This window comes from Homo sapiens, chromosome 3, assembly GCF_000001405.40.
Source record: "Homo sapiens chromosome 3, GRCh38.p14 Primary Assembly".
Taxonomy (NCBI): domain Eukaryota; kingdom Metazoa; phylum Chordata; class Mammalia; order Primates; family Hominidae; genus Homo; species Homo sapiens.
This window is the reverse complement of record NC_000003.12, coordinates 11524662-11542475: the sequence shown is the minus strand read 5'-3', so window position 1 is coordinate 11542475 and position 17814 is coordinate 11524662. Positions and strand designations below refer to the sequence as shown.

The following is a 17814-nucleotide window of genomic DNA, read 5'->3' as shown; positions in this document are numbered from 1 at the left end:
GCAAATATGAAACCTGCCAAGAGGAAATGCTGACATCTTAGCCTTGCAATCCTTAGTGAGGTTTCCGGCAGAAGACTCTGGAATTCCCAGCCCACAGCGACAGGCTGCTCTAGGTCTCCCCCTCTTATTAGTCTGGAAAATGGACCTCAGGGTCCCGCTATATTTGGCACCCTCCCTCTGGGGATGTCGCTAAATAAGCACCAATATCTACACGATCTCTCCTGGAGTGTTTACTGCCTAAGTGCAAGGGCTTGTCCAAGCACTGGTTAGAAGCAGACTGGTTTTGGGGCTCTCAGCTCCTGATCTACCAAGTGACATGCAGAGGAGGGAGGTTTCAAGAGCAGTGGCTCCTGTCGCTGACGCGAATGGCTAGCAACGGGGTATGCTGTCCAGTGCTCCAGCCTCTCCGCTGCATCCCTGGCCCTGTGGGAGGAGGGCACGGGCCCCAGGCTTGTTTGCCTTTTTCCAGGCTTCGAAACACATTTTTAAAATTAGATGGTAAGAATACAGGGTGATTTTTGTGGCACCCACATGCTTTCTTTCAAGATATGATTTATATGTTTGGCCCACATTTTAAACGAAATGGTTATTGAGATAAATGGCCATGCTGAAGGTTGTGAAATGGTTTCTGTTACGTAGTTCTTATTTCCAGTTCCTTAGAAAAGTTTTTGAAAAGTTTCCCTTTAAAAAGGCAGGCACTTTTACATGTTTGTTCTCTACCTCAAAGGGCTTTTGGGGTCAACATCAGAGAGAGGGAGAAGAGGAGGAGGAAAACTGGAGAGCTCAGAGTTCCAGGGTGAGGTGGGGAGGACGCAGGATATAAACACACCAACTTCACTTGGTGAGAAGGGACATCTTGCACCTTCAAATAATGCAAATGCAGGTGACATGGCTTCTCAGGAGAGGGGCATGATCCAATCCTAGGGAGGCATGTGCTGGCAAGGTGACATCCTCTGCCACTGGGCCGGACCATCGGAGACCAAGTAACAAGGCAGACACTGACCCACTGACTCTATAAAGCTTCAGGCAGCAGATAGTTTGGTACTGAGATGAGGATAACCAGGAATACAGAGGTAGAAACAGACCCACAAACACGGGCAGGTGACTTTCAACAAAGGTGGCACAGTAATTTGACGAGAAAGGACAATCTTTTCAACAAACATTGCTGGAACAATTAGATAACCACATAGAGAAAAATGAACTTTCACCCTTAACTCATACCCTACATGAAATTAACTTGAAATCAATCACAAACATATATGTAAAAGCTAAAACCAGCCGGGCGCGATGGCTCACGCCTGTAATCCCAGCACTTTGGGAGGCCGAGGCGGGCGGATCACGAAGTCAGGAGATCGAGACCATCCTGGCTAACATGGTGAAACCCCGTCTCTACTAAAAATACAAAAAAATTAGCCAGGTGTGGTGGTGGGCACCTGTAGTCCCAGCTACTTGGGAGGCTGAGGCAGGAGAATGGCGTGAACCTGGGAGGCGGAGCTTGCAGTGAGCCAAGATTGCACCACTGCACTCCAGCCTGGGCGACAGAGCAAGACTCCCCCCCTCCCCCCCCCAAAAAAAGCTAAAACTATAAATTTTTTAGGAAAAAAAAAGAAAAATCAGTAAGACTTTGGACATAGGCAAAGATTTCTTAGGACACTAAAAGCAGGAACTGTAAGAGAAAAAAATTATTAACTGAACTTCAGAATTCAAAACTTTTCCTCTCTTAAAGACAACATCAAGAAAATGAAAAGGCAAGCCAAAGACATTGAGAAAATATATGCAATACCAATATCTGACCAAAAAACTCATGTCTAGAAAATATAAGACTTTTTTTTTTTGAGATGGGGTGTCACTGTGTTGCCCTAGCTGGAGGACAGTGGTGCGATCACTGCTCACTGCAGCCTTCACCTCTTGGTCTCAAGGGATCCTCCCACCTCAGCCTCCTGAGTAGCTGGGACCACAGGTGCGCACCACCATGCCCAGTGAATTTATTTTTATTTTTTATAGAGATAGGGTCTTGCCATGTTGCTCAGGGTGGAAGAACTCTTACAGTTCAATAAGATATAACAACCCGATGGAAACATGGGCAAAAGATTTGAAAGAAGGGTCACATAAGAAGATCTACAGGTGGCAAATAAATACATGAAAAGATGTTCCCCATCAGAGATGCGGGAAAGATGTTGTCATCAGAGAACTACAATAAAAGCCATAATGAGATGCCACTTGCATATCTACTCAAATGGCCAGAATGAAAAGGACTACCAGCTTCCAAGTGCTGACAAGCACATGGCACAACCAGAACTCTCAAACTCTGCTGGTGGCAACAGCAAAAACGACACAGTGAATTTGAAAAATAACAGTTTCTTAAAAGTTAAACATACACTTCCACCATAGGACCCAGCAATTCTAGTCCTAGATAATCTCCCAAGAGAAGTGAAAACACACTCACTCATCAGAGCTTCATTTATAACAGCTCCAAACTAGAAACAACCCAAGAACAGCTCACCAGGTGAGTGAGTAAACAATTCTGGTACACTCACACAGCGAGACGCTACTCAGCGACAGAAAGGCACCAAGCGCTGACACACGCAATGATGCAGGTGAACCTCCAGGCGGCTGTGCAGGGCAGGACAGGCCAGACAGACCTGCTCGATGTCGCCGAACTGTGCTGGTTCCACAAGCGAGTACGTTTCTCAAAGCTCAGAAATGTGCACTTTTACATATATTTGATTGTATGCGCATCAATAGATTTTATTTTTTAAATTCATAAGAGAAAACGAATATAGCTTAAGACGGGGGGAGTTTCACAATATAAAAACATATTTACAATAATTACCAAAAATGTCATAAGAGAAATACCGTGTCTTTTTCAGAACCACCAAAGGTGGAAAGTGGGCGACCCCCCGCCAGCAGGCCCACTTCCCCTAAAGCACCAACGCAGTCTCCCACTCATTTAGTTAGAGGTCTTATTTCCCAACCATTTTAAGGAGAACAGAATCCTTCCAGCCCAACCTTCCCTGGCCTCCCCGGCTCAGTGCCATGCCTTCTCTTACCCTGATCTGATTCTGCTATAGCCATTAATCACTATCAGGTGGAGTTAAGAGCTCTGTCTCTGAAGCCAGACTTCCAGGATTGGGTCCTGCTCTGCCACTGACTAGCTATGTCACCTCAGGCTATTTATTTAATCTCTTTGTGCCTCTGTGTTCTCATCTGAGAAATGAGGACAAAAATGCTGTCTCCCTCGTAGGGCTGTTGTGACCATGAAATGAGTTAGTGGGCATAAAGTGCTCAGAACTGCACCTGATGCAGGGTACACATCATCTGTGTTGTTACTTGCTTACAATGATGGAGAACACAACTTTACAACCTGAAAAAAAAAAATCTCAGTTGATATCATTAACATTTTGTGGTAAGTTCTTGGAAGCTGTGGGTAATCGACCTTGTATTACAGCCAGATTAAAGCTTTTCACATTGAAAATAGCAAGAAGCTCAGATCCCTTCTCCATGCTCTCTTCCAGGAGGACATCTTAGGTAGGTGTCCATTCCTTCCTTCAGTCACTCATTCTCAAGAATTACTAAGGGCTTTTTCTTTTTCTTTTTTTTTGAGACAAGAGTCTCACTCTGTTGCCCAGTATGTGTGCAGTGGCACAATCATAGCTCACTGCAGCCTCGACCTTCCCAGGCTCAGGTGATCCTCCCATCTTAGCCTCCTGGGTAGCTGCAACCACAGGCCTGCACCACCACATCTGGCTTTTTTTTTTTTTTTGGCTAATTTTTTTTTTTTTTTTTTTTTTTTTTTTTAGAGACGGAGTTTCATCACACTGACCAGGGTGGTCTCGAACTCCTGGGCTTCAGCAACCTGCCTGCCTTGGCCTCCCAAAGTGCTGGGATTACAGGTGTGAGCCCCTGAGGCTGGCACTAAGGGCCTATTCTGTGTCATATTCAAATATGAGTCTCTTTCCTCTCTACCATACCATGGCATTTTTACACTTAAGGAACTCAGAGCTCACAAGGCAGGTGACTGTCAGGGCCACACAGCTAGCAAATGGCAGAGCTGAGATCCACACATAGGTCTGTCTCGTCCCATGTCCTGGGTTCTCATTTCCACTGCAGCTTCTGGCAATTAGGTCTGGCAAAAGGGTGTTTTGCCAAGAGAGCTATCCCTTGAAGGTCCATGGTGTGATAGAGTCTGTGCTGGCCTCAGAAAGGCCTTCCTGAACCAGCTGACAGGTCAGCGTTGAGAGGGCAGTGCCACCCAGCCTGCCACGAGGCCCTCGGTTATTCCCAGTCCCCACAAAACCCCCATGCTCTCTCTGACCACTTGCCTCTAGAAATGCCACCAACCTTCCGTCAGGTTCCCTGTGGCCCTCAGGAACATCTGTCAGCCCTGGGGTCCACATATCTCCTAGCCAGCTGGACAACAGGGGTCATCTGGAATCCCACACTGGGACCTATGCCCTCTTCCCTCCACCTTTCCCTGGCCTCTTCTACATTCAGGGCCAGATCTCGGCCAGGTACCACTTTGGCTCTGTGGCATTGGGTATAAAGGAAACAGCACTGGACTTGGGGCAAGACGCTCCCAATTTTGGATCCGGGCTCTACCAGCCACCAGCTCTCTGTGGGCTAGCTCGTTTCTCAGGACTCAGTTTCCCCGCAGGAAAATACATCTCTCCATTTTACCACCAACCATACAGAGGTTATCAAGGATACATAAAACAACTGGAAAGCACAGACCCAGAACCTGGCACCGAGCAGGGCCTCAGGAAATGTTAAGCCTGAGTTTTAATCTGAGGTCACAGGGCAGATGATGAAGTGTGGAGTGAGAGCCCTCTTGGGATTGACTGAGGAGTTCGTGTTGCATGTGTAGTTTGTTTTATAATCACTCTCATTGTGACCCCTGGATCTTTGAGAGAAAATGGGAACTGAGACTAAGAAATCAGGAAGGAAAATGGGGCTCTATGAAGGAAGTCTCCATCCATTCAGCCAGCATCCTTTGAACACCTACAGTACCCCATGTGCTATGATATGTTTGGCTCTCGCTGATCAGCCATGACTGGGACAGGTGCGTCCGTCCCTGCCCTGGGAGGTCCCTGCCTAGTGGAGGTGACAAGAGACTAACACAAAACCAGATCCACCCAAGGAAAGAGCTACAAAATATAGGAAAAAAATGGGGTGAGAGGTGGAATGATGGAGGAACAGTTCTTTTAGAAAGGGACTTGGGGGTAAGGCCTCTCAGTGGAGCCAACACTTGAAGCTGAGCTCTGAAAGATGGGAAGGAAGGAAGGAGCCAGCCCGTCCAGGAGTGGAGGGAGGGCAGCTCTCTACGGAGAAAACAGCAGGTGCAAAGATCCCAGGGGCTCCGGGGGGCTGACAGCAGAGCACGTGGCTGGGTGGGTGAGGCCCTGTGCAGAGGGATGGAGGTCTGCCATCAGAGGGTCCGCGGAGAGGGGCCTGGGTTTATTCTAAACTGCAGAACTCGGGCAGGAAGCGACAAGATCATGGAGTACCAGGAGACATGGAGGGGAGTATACGGGTTCAGATTATATTTTAGAGGTAGAATCAACAGGCTGATCGTAAATAAGCTCATAATCCTAAAATTCCAGAGCTGGACATGATCTTGCACAACATTAAGTTCACCCTACACAGCTGCTGAAGGGAAGATGGAGGCTCAGAGAGGGGTGTGGCCTAAGCAAGGTCACCAGCTGAGCTGGACCCAGAATCGTAGGTGACCAGACCAGGGTGGTCCTTCGCTGCTCGGCCCCGGTCGGAGCCGCAGGGTCGGGGCAGCAGGTTCGTTCCGCACCTATGGGTGCAGTGGCAAGAGGGTCCGCTCTCGGGACTCCCCGCCAGAGTGCGCTCACACAAACGTTTACTCTGAAAACAGATGGGTGGCGACCTCCGTGGAACACAAACATCCTCCCTAGGTGTGTGGTGGCGTTTTGCATGGGAAACAGAAGTTTTGGCTTCTTCCCCAGCCTGGAAGGCACAAACTTAACCCAAAATCCAGGCTCTGTCCCAGGACAAAACAAAAGCAGTTAGGAAGGAGCTGGTCCTGCTGTGGGAACAGGGCGCTGGCCAGGTGGAGCCGGTAGCCCAAGGCTGTCTTCCTGTCCTGGCAGGCACATTCCCTGAGCCCACATTGATAGCAAGGTTAAGTGGACCAAAGGTTAAGTGGACCAACCTCAGCGCTGATGAGGGGCTGTATTCAGTAACTGCAGTTCTTAAAGATGTTTCTTTGGCTACCTAGTTCACCCCTAATGAGCCTCTCAATCTACTGAAAACCTCTCGGTTCTCCTCCAATCCCACTCCCCTGGCCCGGGGGCAGTCCTTTCTAATTCCTCCCCCTCACAGACCAGCCCTGAGAAAACAGCCTGGCTGGGCTGGGAGGGTGGTCTCCTTGCCCCAACTAGCCAGTTATGAGGCCCCTTTCCTTTAGAACCCATGGAGATGGAGGCCCCAGCAGTTGGGGGGCTCCTGGGCCCACAGCTGCACTGGATGGCCTGATGGCTGGTTTGGCAGGCAACGCTGCGTCATCCCACATGGAATCATCTTTTCTCTGCTAAGGAGCATAAGCTTTGGGGCTCCTGTTTTAGGGGATCTGCAGACACTCTTTAAAAAGGACTGATATGCTTCACCATTCAAGCAAGGGTGCGAAGCTGGCAGGTCCACGGGAGTTCTGAAATGCCCCAGAGGGCTCTTGGGAAGGCGGGAATTGAGAACAGCTCTCCTAAGACTGAGAACACAAGGTTCTCCCCCCAGCGCACGCCCCCGCTTCTTTACCAAGGAGCCTGGTTGAAAAGAGAGAGGGCCGAGCCCTCCTCAGAGGGACCCTGTGTGCCTCATCTGTCAATCATCAGTCAAGTCCACTGCTGAAGAGCTGAGTCCTCCTGTAGGGCTTGTAGCTGTCCCCTCGGTTCACTGGCCTGAGAGTCCCCAGGCAGGGCTACTGTCCCACTGTCACCACCTCCCCCTAATCCATCAAAGAGAGCCTGCTCTGAGACCTGCCTGGCCCCTGTGATTGCCATACAAACCTGCTCAGGGAGGGCCGACGCAGAAGACTTTGAGAATCACAAAAGCCAGGGTTCCTCCACAGGGACTTGGGCACCATGCTGGGTGCCACTGGGAGACAGAGATGAGTAACACGAGATGGCCTTTCCCTCTGAGAGCCTTCAGTCCAGCCAGGCAGGTAAAGGACACCTCAGATGACACCAGGCAGGGTGTCTGATGAAGGGGTGCAAAGACTGGCCTGAGCTAGAGGGGGCAAAGGGCTGGGCACTCAGCTAAGGCTCAGCAGGGCATGGCCCGGGTCCAGGCCCCGAAGGATGAAATATTCCAGCAGAAATGTCAGCCTCAAGGGGGGCCCCCAAGCAACACATCTTAGGAAGAATCCGCTGGGCCTTTACAGATTTCCTGAGGAGGTGACCCGCAAGGGCAGGGATAGGACCATACAGCTGGGGCCATTAAGGGAGCAAAGACCTTGGGATGAGAATGTGCAAGATGAGCACTGAATTGCAGCTGGAGTGGAGGCTTCTGCCAGGAAGTCACAAAGGGAAAGGCAGAGGCGCCTCCGCAGCAGGGCTGCGCCTACGTGGGCCTGAAGCGCATTGGGCTGAGCCTGGGGAAGAAGAGCTGAGCTGAGCTACTCCTCCCTAGGGTAGAAGGGGTGCTGTGCAGTCCCAAAGTGGCCAGGTGCCTCGAGGCAGACAGTGACTCCCCCCAGGTGGTCAAGAGGCCTACCAGGCTGCGCTGGGAGGGAGCAGCGTCCCACTGTGGGTTGAAGACATCTGCTTTTGACACCACTAGGGCCATTTGGGGCCCAACTCCATGTCCTGCTAACAGACGGCGTGTGGCAGCTCCCCTTAGCACAGCGACTACGAAACCGCAGTATGCAGTCCCTGCCTGGCGGCACGTAGCCACCCGGCATGAAGGACGCACATTCAGGAAGAACCCTGATGCGTTCCAGACCGCCTTGGCTCTGGGGAGGTGTCCTCTCCTCCATGAGCATGTCTAACCCACAGGGCAACACAGGACCTGCCTGTGAGCAGAAGATGTGAGGACAGATGCTGAGGGCCTCTGTTCCAAGACCAACAGCATTCTGAGGCGACGCCCATCATGCCCTTCTTTACCTTGGCAAGCTGGTGTCCCTACCTAAATATAGATGCCTTTGCAGAACGGGCATCTGCCTGCTGCCGCAGAATCGACTCAGTCCAGCTTGCGGCAGAAGGGCACAGTGCTAAGACTCTGGGAGCTTTTCACTCCTAGACCTAGGGTGCTGCTGGAATCTCCAGTTCCTTTCTCATTCAGATTGAACATCCTCATCTGTGTGTGCAGGTGACAAGCCCTGGGCAAAGGGGCATGGCTGTGCCAACTGGATAGGCTGGCAGCTTTCCCCTGGGGGGGGAGGAGGAGGCTTTCTGCTGGCTAGTACTTTTCCAACTCTGACAGTGGCACGGCTCACAAGTGCTGAAATTCTGGACTTTTCCTTTGTGGCTGCACATTTCTGATGGTGGGAAACCTGGGCCTCAAGATGCGCTCCAAGTTTTTTTAATCAGCCATCACTTGAAAGTGCTTAAATTTTTAAGAGCAAAATAGGAAAGCATGGTTCATTCTCTTAATAAGTATTTTTAAAGCCCATTTTATAAACAATTCAGAGTTTTCTGCTTCTAGTTTCTTTTGTTTTACTCTTTTCTGTTTCTCTGCTGATAAATATGAGGTGCTAAGTTCAAAATGTAAGGCTACATTTTGGCTAACAGAAAAGAAATAACAACTGTGGCTTCAAAAAATAACATCTTTAAAGAATCAGCTCCATGTGTTCCCTTGCATCTGTTCTACCTTCTCAGGAAGCAGTTTTTAATGAGTTTTTCGTCATTTCAGAGAAGATTTCAGAGAAGAGTTTCTGCTTTCAAGTATTTGTGTAATGGCTTTTTTTTTTTTTTTTTAACAGAAGGGGGATTTTTCTCTGTGGTCCCAAACTACCTGGAGAAGACAAATCAAAGTTCATGTTGTGAACAACATGAACAGAAGAATAACAGCAAGCAAGCTAACGTATGGGCCTGCTCCTTAAAATTACACTTAAAAATCACTTTATCTTTCTTAAGAAATTATTGCAAGCTGGACTGGAAAAAAAATCACCCCAGAGGAGGTTTACCATATAAATAACCACTAAGAGATCATTTTCTTTGTTTTTGTTGGCATGGGTCTTGCTGAGTTTAAATGAACACTCACGGTGATGATGAAAGGGAGCTGGAGAGGAGGGCTTGGGGGTCAGCAGCTCAGCATGGCCACCCTGAGAAAGTGCCCAGCCAAAGGGGCCTCCCAAGCCCCGGGCATTATTCAGACCCGGGGTGAAGAGCACTGCCCACTGAACCCTCCACTGTCTGCTCTGCGCACCAGCGCACCTCCGGGCTGCTCTGTCTCTGACCTTTCCTCCAGTCATTCCCGCTCAGGCTGGGGCTTGCTTCTCCTCGCCACCCTGTCTGTGACACCTTACTAGCTAGCATCCTGGGGCACGGTGTTCATGTGAGGCAGTGCTGACTCTGGGGGCTGGGGTGGTGCAAAGATAACAAGACTCAGGTCCTCCTCCAAAGCACTTTTAACTCTCAACAAAATAATTCATTTTTACCAACTGCTGATTGCATTTCAGGCACCATGCTAACGACATCTCATGCAGTATCTAGACCCATCCTTGCCACAAGGGGAGATGGTGTTATTGTTAACCTCATTTCTTGGGAGAGAAGCTGGTGTTGTTTCGTTTTTTACGACAGGTCTCACTCTGTCACCTAGACTGGAGTGCAGTGGCACAGTCATGACTCACTGTAGCCTCGGCCTTGGGGACTCAAGCAGTGTTCCTGCCTCAGCCTCTTGAGTAGCTGAAACCACAGGTGCGCACCACCACACCTGGCTAATTTTTGAATTTTATGAACGGACAGGACGTTGCCATGTTGCCCAGGCTGGTCTCTAACTCCTGGGCTCAAGCAATCCTCCTACCTTGGCCTCCCAAAGCACTGGGATTACAGGCATGAGGCACTGCACCCAGCCTGAGAAGCCTGTGTTCCTCACCACTGATTCCATCTCCCTCTCTCTGCCTCCACCTCCTCTTTCCAGACTCAGCTCTGTCCTCCTCCGTTTCCTCCTCTGTTTTGGGCCATAGCACACAACACTTCCGGTTTGTCCCTTGCAGATGATGTGTGCCGGCTCCTTGAGATCAGCGAGTATGCATTAGTTTTGTGTCTGCAGCATCTCATGTGGTGCATTGCATCAATAAATGCTCAACAAATCAGAAATCATACTCAATACACGCTTGTTGAATGAGCAAATCTTCTTTTGACTCTTAGGAACCTTGGGGGCAAGAACCCCAGCCCTGCAGCGCCCCACAGTCCCTTACAGGGTGGCGTGTGGGGCGGAGGGGAGAGGAGGAAGAGGAGGAGGAGGAATAAAATCCAATATTTTAGTTTCTAAGTCAAAACAACTAATCATTTTCTAAGAGAAGATTCTGGGAGAAATTTGATAAAATGATGCCAACAAAGTGTTTAGCGCAGTGCTTGGCACACAGTAAGCACTCAATAAATGTTAGCTGCTCTGTTATTAGACTTTTTTTTTTTTTTTTTTTTTCCTGAGACAGGGTCTCACTCTTGTCACCCAGGCTGAAGTGCAGTGGTAGGATCTGGGCTCACTGCAGCCTCAACCTCCTGGGCTCAGGTGATCCTCCCACCTCAGCCTCCCGAGTAGCTGGGACTACGGACATGTGCCATCATGCCTGGCTAATTTTTTGCAAAGACAGGGTTTTGCCATGTTGCCCAGGCTGGTCTCAAACTCTTGGGCTCAGGCAATCCAACTCCCTTGGCATCCCAAAGTGCTGGATTATAGGCATGAGCCATTGCACCTGGCCTAGACCATTTTTATGGTATGTTGTCAGGGTAGAGTTTAGTGCAAACCAATATGCAGACTTGCGGACCATGTGATTGCCCCTTGGGCTTAAGGAAATCTACAGAGAGGTGAGCACCCTAATGCCAGCCAGTAATGGACTGGCACACAGGGGGTGGTGGGACCTCAGGAAGGTGCTTTGCCTTGCCAGGTGGGTTGCACCCCAGTGCATTCATAAACAGGCTCAGACCTAAGTGCCAAGCATTAAGTGACCTGTTCCTCTGTGCCCCCCACCTCTCAGGCTAATGCACAGTGCTCCCTGCCCCACACTCACATTCATACTCTTCCTTGACTTCCTCTGGACTCTGCCTTGGCTGGGTACCCTGCACAGCCCCCCCTTCTTCTAGACTGCCAGACCTGGGGCAGAACAACGGGGTTTTAGTCTTGACTCTGTACCTACTGCTGACAGCACCAGGCAGGAGAATAACTTCTCTGTGCCTCAGCCCTTCCCTGCCAACCAGCCAGAGAGGCAAGAAGCCCGCTCTGCCGACTCCATAGTCCTGTGGTGAGCAGACACTTAGCCAGGACCACGGTGAGTGAGGAAGGCAGTCTTCATTTTATTATTATTATTTTCCGAGATAGAGTATCACTCTGTCACCCAGGCTGGAGTGCAGTGGCGTGACCTTGGCTCACTGCAACCTCTGCCTCCCAGGGGCAAGCAACACCGTTGCCTCAGCCTCCCAAGTAGCTGTGATTACAGGTGTGCACCATCACGCCTGGCTAATTTTTGTATTTTTAGTAGAGACAAGGTTTCACCATGTTGACCAGGCTGGTCTCGAACTCCTGACCTCAAGTGATCTGCCTGACTCAGCCTCCCAAAGTGCTGGGATTACAGGCTCAGGCTTCATTTTAAAGGTAGAACGTGGAAATTATTATTTATTATTAAGAAGGATTGAAGAGAGAAAGATACTGGCTCAGTGGGGGTCACTGCTGGAGGGTGGGGTCAGGAGGGCAACAGCGGTTGGTCTCAGAGGAGGGGATTCATTTCACCATCAAGTCTGGAATGGGTGCCGACTGGAAAGAATTGGGGTTTTTCTTGTATTTATCTTTGCATTTCTTGCATTTCTTTAAAGCAAATCATCATTTCCCAATTCAGCATCCAAGTTTCTCAAAACTGATGAAAGACAGTCTGGAAGCTACACTCCTGTACCCAAGCTCAGGTCATTCTGGCTGTTTAAATGCAGAAGGTGGCGATGCAGAGTGCTTCTCGGAGTACGGCCAGGCAGCCTGCTAACAGCACAGGGACTGCACGCGCACCGCACACACACTGCTTTCCTCTGAGAGCATGCCACTGCTTGCAGGGCCTCGCTCTCTCTGGGAGCCGCTCTGACAAATGCTTTAATTGTTCAAAGCAGACAGAGTTTGTTTAGTCATGTCTGCTGAGGTGGGAAGGGTATTATAACACATCTGTGCTGGCTCTTTCTGCATGGGTCATCCAGTTCTCAGGCCTGCCTGCAACCACCACCCTCCAGCCAAGACCGAGAGGCGTCCTCAAAAAAGCCAACGACACCTCTGATCCAAGTAGAAGGTCCTCCTCTGTCCAAAACACATACATGCACTTTCAAAAGAAAAGGAGTGAGAAGGAAGTCTCTGGGCCCCTCCTGTCTCCTGGGCAAGAGGATGGTGGTGCAGATGGGTCATGCTAGGGTGAGTAAGAAAAGGGCAAAGGAGCAAAAGGTGACAGAGCCAACACCTGAGGGGCTGACGAGCACAGAGCCATCTCAGCATCCTTGGTACCTTCGGGCAGAGACATCAACTCTCTGGTCCTTTCTGCCCTGTCCCCTCCCACTGCTACCACGATGACGTGTGGGGTGTCCCCTGCCATGCTTGCCACTGAAGAGACCAGGACGTTGCTAACCAGGTGAAGCCTCAATTATGAGAAAAAAATCAAGAAGTTCCCTATTTTTAAGGCTGTGGTATTCAAGAGCCAGGTGGTCACAGGGACAAACTTCACGTTGCTGATAACATCGTATACTTCCAAGTATTTAACAAGTCTCCCTCATGAAAACAAGCCCTTGACCTCATCTGACTACCAGCCCAAGGCCAACAGGACAAGCTGCTGTATTTCTAAGTCCTGATTTTGAAGAAGGCCCTTCATTCATATGACTAAGACTTAAAACAATTCTCTGTTTGAAGCCACGTATCTGGGAACATAAAATCAATGTCATCTATAGGCTTTACTGCTTGTGGTAGGAGGGGCAAGCAGCTTCTCTTGTGTTACGGTTCCTAAATGTTATTGGATTTTTCCTCCCAATCAATGATCTTAATTACTTTCAAAAAGGGCTATATATTATCTTTAAATATTTATTTGTTAAGTCTTAAAAAACAAAGCAAACTCCCAACTCTTCAACCTGGCTGGCTTTGGAGGTGCCCCAGGATGTCAGCCTCAGCCTCTTCATTCCCAGGCCTTCCTTGCCCCGTCCCCCTCCCATGCCCTCCTGTCCACCTACACGTGTAGTTTCCACTGTCACCTGAATGTACCGCCCCCTTTTTTCCACAGTGCCTTCCATATGGTATTTCTTCTACCTGAAATGTCCTCCAGGCCCACCTTTGCAGTTCCCATCCATTCTGCAGAAAGCCTATCTGTACCTCTCTCCCTCCAGCTGACAGTCTGACCGAATATGCAGTCATGAGTCCAACATCTTATTTATGACTTATCTTCTGCTGTGTCCCTGAATTGTGATTTTATTCTCATAATGCTGTTTTAACTTTTTTTTTTTTTTTTTTTTTGAGATGGAGTCTTGCTCTGTCGCCCATGCTGGAGTGCAATGGCACCATCTCGGCTCACTGCAACCTCCGCCTCCTGGGTTCAAGTGATTCTCCTGCCTCAGCCTCCCGAGTAGCTGGGACTACAGGTGCGCACCACCATGCCCGGCTAATTTTTGTATTTTTAGTAGAGATGGGGTTTCACCATATTGGCCAGGCTGGTCTCAAACTCCTGACCTTGTGGATCTTCCTGCCTCAGCCTCCCAAAGTGCTGGGATTACAGGAATGAGTCACTGCGCCCAAACTATTTTAACTTTCTATATGCATTTTGTATTGTGTCCTCTGGTAGACTCTATGTCAGACTGTGATATCAGAGGTAAGCATTTTTCTCTGTAGGCTTCTCAAGGTCTCTGATGATGGCTGACACATAGGAGGTACGTGACCATCTGACTTCCCGGATATTGGTGACTGTAAGTGACTGACTGCGATTCCTCTGAAGGTAAGATAGCTATCTTATGTTTTTTTAAAGTATGTGCCATTATGACTTCAATAAACCTGGGCACATAAGCAGGGGCTGCTCCTTGCTGATTTAATAACAGCAGCTCAAGATATATTTGTTGAATGAAGTCAATATTGTTGCAGGCTATAAAGAAGATTCAGTGCAGAAAACCTTGCCCCGTGAAATGGTTATCTTTCAAACCAGAAGAGTAAACAGAACTTTACTTCATTAAGTTGTTCGTTTACTTCTCATGTTGGTCCCCAACATGAGAAGGCAACAGAAGGCCCACAATTGAAGCAGAAGGGACCACACGTGGGTGATCTTCAAGTAACAGGCAAAGCAGGGAAGATTTAATGATTCAAGATGACAGGCAGGACTGCAGGATGCATCACAAATCAGCCCACTCCTGCATTTCTGCATGGATACGGGCAACACATTACTGTGTTTGTAGTCACAAACAAGGAAATGAAAATACCTGCTTTGGAACAAAATCTTACCTATGTTGGCTGTTACAACATCTGAAATAGAAAAGACATCTGAAAGGCCTTATATAACTGTAACTTGAGTTTTTAAATTAAAACTAAGAGTGTTACTCAGCCTCTTTAAACTATAACCCATTTGTTACAGGCAAATCTTAAAGCAGTTAAAATCCTTTCTAGGATAGAATTTTCTCAAACTTTGATATGTTTGCCTTCTATATGATTGTGGGGCATACATTGTAACTCTCATGCCTATGACCACAGATCTCTGTATTCCTTCCCATGCAATCCTGATAATACTGATAATTGAGGTGTTTATGTAGCATGAAAAATAGTTCAGTGCCACTGATGATATCCCATGAGTTCCCAGGAATGCAAATTCTTAACTATGGTATTAAATAGTTACCCAGGGACAGGTAGAAGAGAATGACATTATCTCAGGAAGACAAGGATGGTTCAATATAAGAAAAAAAGGCCAGGCGTGGTGGCTCATGCCTGTAATCCCAGCACTTTGGGAGGCCAAGGTGAGTGGATCACCTGAGGTCAGGAGTTCAACCTGGCCAACATGGCGAAACCCCATCTCTGCCAAAAATACAAAAATTAGCTGGGTGTGGTGGCATGTGCCTGCAATCCCAGCTACTCAGGAGGCTAAGGCAGGAGAACTGCTCAAACTTGGGAGGCAGAGGTTGCAGTGAGCCGAGAGCGTGCTACTGTACTCCAGCCTGGACAACAGAGTGAGACTCCACCTCAAAAAAATGTGTGTATATGTATATGTATGTATATATATATATATATATATACACACACACACACACACACACACACACACATATATACACACACACATATATATACTATATATATAGTAATTTAATATACCACACTATTAGTTTTTATAAAAGGACAAAAAATTAAACATCTCAAAAGATGCAGAAAAAGTTTTTTACCTTCACTCACAATTTTAATAAAACAGAAAATCAGTAACAAAAGGGAACTTCCTTAATAAAATCTACAGCAAACATGATGGTAAATGGTAAAACTTTAGATTCATTCTTAACAAAGTCAGGAACAATTTCAGGAATCTTCCATAAGCAGTTCATTTCAACATTATTTTGTAGCCTTAGTGAATGCAGTAAAACAAGAAAAAGAAATGAGGTACACAGACAACAAGAGTATAAACTATTGTTATTTGCAAAAGATACCACTGTCTACGTGGAAAATCTGAAAGAATTTTCAAACTGTTACAACTAACAAGATAGGTCAACAATGCTGGTGGAATATAATCAACATACAAAAATCAATAGTTTTGCTATACACCAATAATAACCACTTTGACAAAATGTAGTAGAATCAGGGACATTGCTAATAATCCTATTGCTTATAAATTAGCATCTTAAAAAATAGTCAAAATTCTATTATGGTAAGAGTTCTTGATGAAGATTATGTTTCTTGTTGTCTGGGGGTTTTTTTGTTGTTTTTGAGACTTGAGTCTCACTCTGCCACCTAGGCTGGAGTGCAGTGGAGTGATCACGGCTCACTAAAGCCTCGGCCTCCCTGGGCTCAAGTGACTCTCTTGCCTCAGCCACCTGAGTAGCTGGGATTACAGGCATGCACCACTAGGCCCGGCTAATTTTTGTATTTTTTGTAGAGATGGGGTCTCGCCATGTTGCCAAGGCTAGTCTTGAACTCCTGAGCTCAAGCGATCTGACCACCTCAGCTTCCCAAAGTGCTGGGATTACAGGCATGAACCATGGTGCCTGGCCCTTGATGAAGATTATGATTCAAGATTACAGAATTTCATATTCTGCCTGTGAATTTGGGAAACAGAGCAGCAGTTATCACATTTATATCAGCACAGCACTGAACAGTTTACCAAGCCTAGTCAACTATCACAATAACATTTTAAATTCTCAAAATAATCCTGTGAGAGAGGTAGAGTCTCTACACATGAGGAATTAAAGGTGACAGAACTTTTCAGCAGCTGCTAGTGGTCTTTTGATTTAAAAATGGCTATAACTGGCGAGGTGCAGTGGCTCACACCTGTAATCCCAGCACTTTGGGAGGCCGAGGCGGGCAGATCACAACGTCAGGAGATCGAGACCATCCTGGCTAACACGGTGAAACCCCGTCTCTACTAAAAATACAAAAAATTAGCCAGGTGTGGTGGCGGGTACCTGTAGTTCCAGCTACTCAGGAGGCTGAGGCAGGAGAATGGTGTGAACCCAGGAGGCAGAGCTTACAGTGAGCCGAGATCACGCCACTGCACTCCAGCCTGGGCGACAGAGCAAGACTCCGTTTAAAAAAAAAAAAAAAAAGGCTATAACTAGATATTAATGTTGGCTGTGTAAAAGGTGTTAATCAACAAACAAATGAGCATCTGTCACATACAAGGGCAAAGGAGTAAAAAAAAAAAAAAAAAAAAATCACATGTCTTACTGTGAACCTCTTATGAGTAAAGTTAATCATTCAGGCTAAAGAGGGAACATTTTGTTTCCTCTTTTCAAGGAATAGTTAAATAAATAAATAATTTCTACTTTCACTGGCTGGGTACAGTGGCTCATACCTATAATCCTAGCACTTTGGGAGGTCAAGGCGGGTAGATCACCTGAGGTCAGGAGTCCGAGACAACCCTGGCCAACATGGCAAAACCACATCTCTACTAAAAATAAAAAAATTAGCTGGGTGTGGTAGTGCACGCCTGTGGTCCCAGCTGAGGCTGAGGCAGGACAATCACTTGAGCCCAGAAGGTGGAGGTTGCAGTGGGCTGAGATCGCGCCACTGCACTCCAGCCTAGGTGACAGAGCCAGTCTCAAAAATAAATAAATAAATAAATAAATAAAGTGAGATTTGCACAGACAGAGGAATAAATACCCTTAAATTTCATAGCAAATTCTGAAGCGGCTAGGGAAAATATAGAATATACGAGGTTTGTTTCTGTGTTATTTTAAACATCTGCTGCTGATTTAGGGTCATGTTCTTAATCTGTAAGACACAGAACCTCACCTGGAGGATGACAGGACAATGGGGATCTGCTATCGACTCAGAATGCCTGTTTTGTTTTTTTTTGTTTTTGTTTTTGTTTTAAATGACAGGGTTTTGCTCTGTTGCCCAGGCTGGAGCACAGTGGCATGATCATAATTCACTGCAGCCTCCAACTTGTGGGCTCAACTGGTCCTCCCACCTCAGCCTCCCGAGCTGCTGGGACTACAG

General features: G+C 47.6%; 1 protein-coding gene and 1 pseudogene across 16 annotated transcripts in view, besides 1 other annotated feature; one reads left to right on the top strand and one right to left on the bottom strand.

Annotated features, from left to right (window-relative positions):
- The window catches only part of ATG7 (autophagy related 7), a 303957-nt gene that overhangs the window by 33878 nt on the left and 252265 nt on the right, over positions 1-17814 (bottom strand). For 2 of the 16 annotated variants that reach the window (XM_017005551.2, XM_047447304.1), the window contains exon 18: positions 15549-16412. The exons of 13 other annotated variants lie outside the window; for them this stretch is intronic. In XM_017005551.2, the coding sequence (XP_016861040.1) occupies positions 16392-16412 (21 nt within the window). In that variant the 3' untranslated portion in view covers positions 15549-16391. Of the gene's footprint in view, positions 1-15463; positions 16413-17814 lie in introns of those variants that run through there. One more of the 16 variants, XM_017005548.2, reaches the window with a different exon arrangement.
- Positions 8871-9371: an enhancer, noted in NCBI's record as "H3K4me1 hESC enhancer chr3:11574579-11575079 (GRCh37/hg19 assembly coordinates)". NCBI's record gives its function as "activates a minimal SCP1, AML or CMV promoter by ChIP-STARR-seq in naive H9 embryonic stem cells {active_cell/tissue: H9 hESC(naive)}" and the evidence as "EXISTENCE:reporter gene assay evidence [ECO:0000049][PMID:30033119]".
- On the top strand, positions 12721-12988 carry CSTBP1 (CSTB pseudogene 1; annotated as a pseudogene).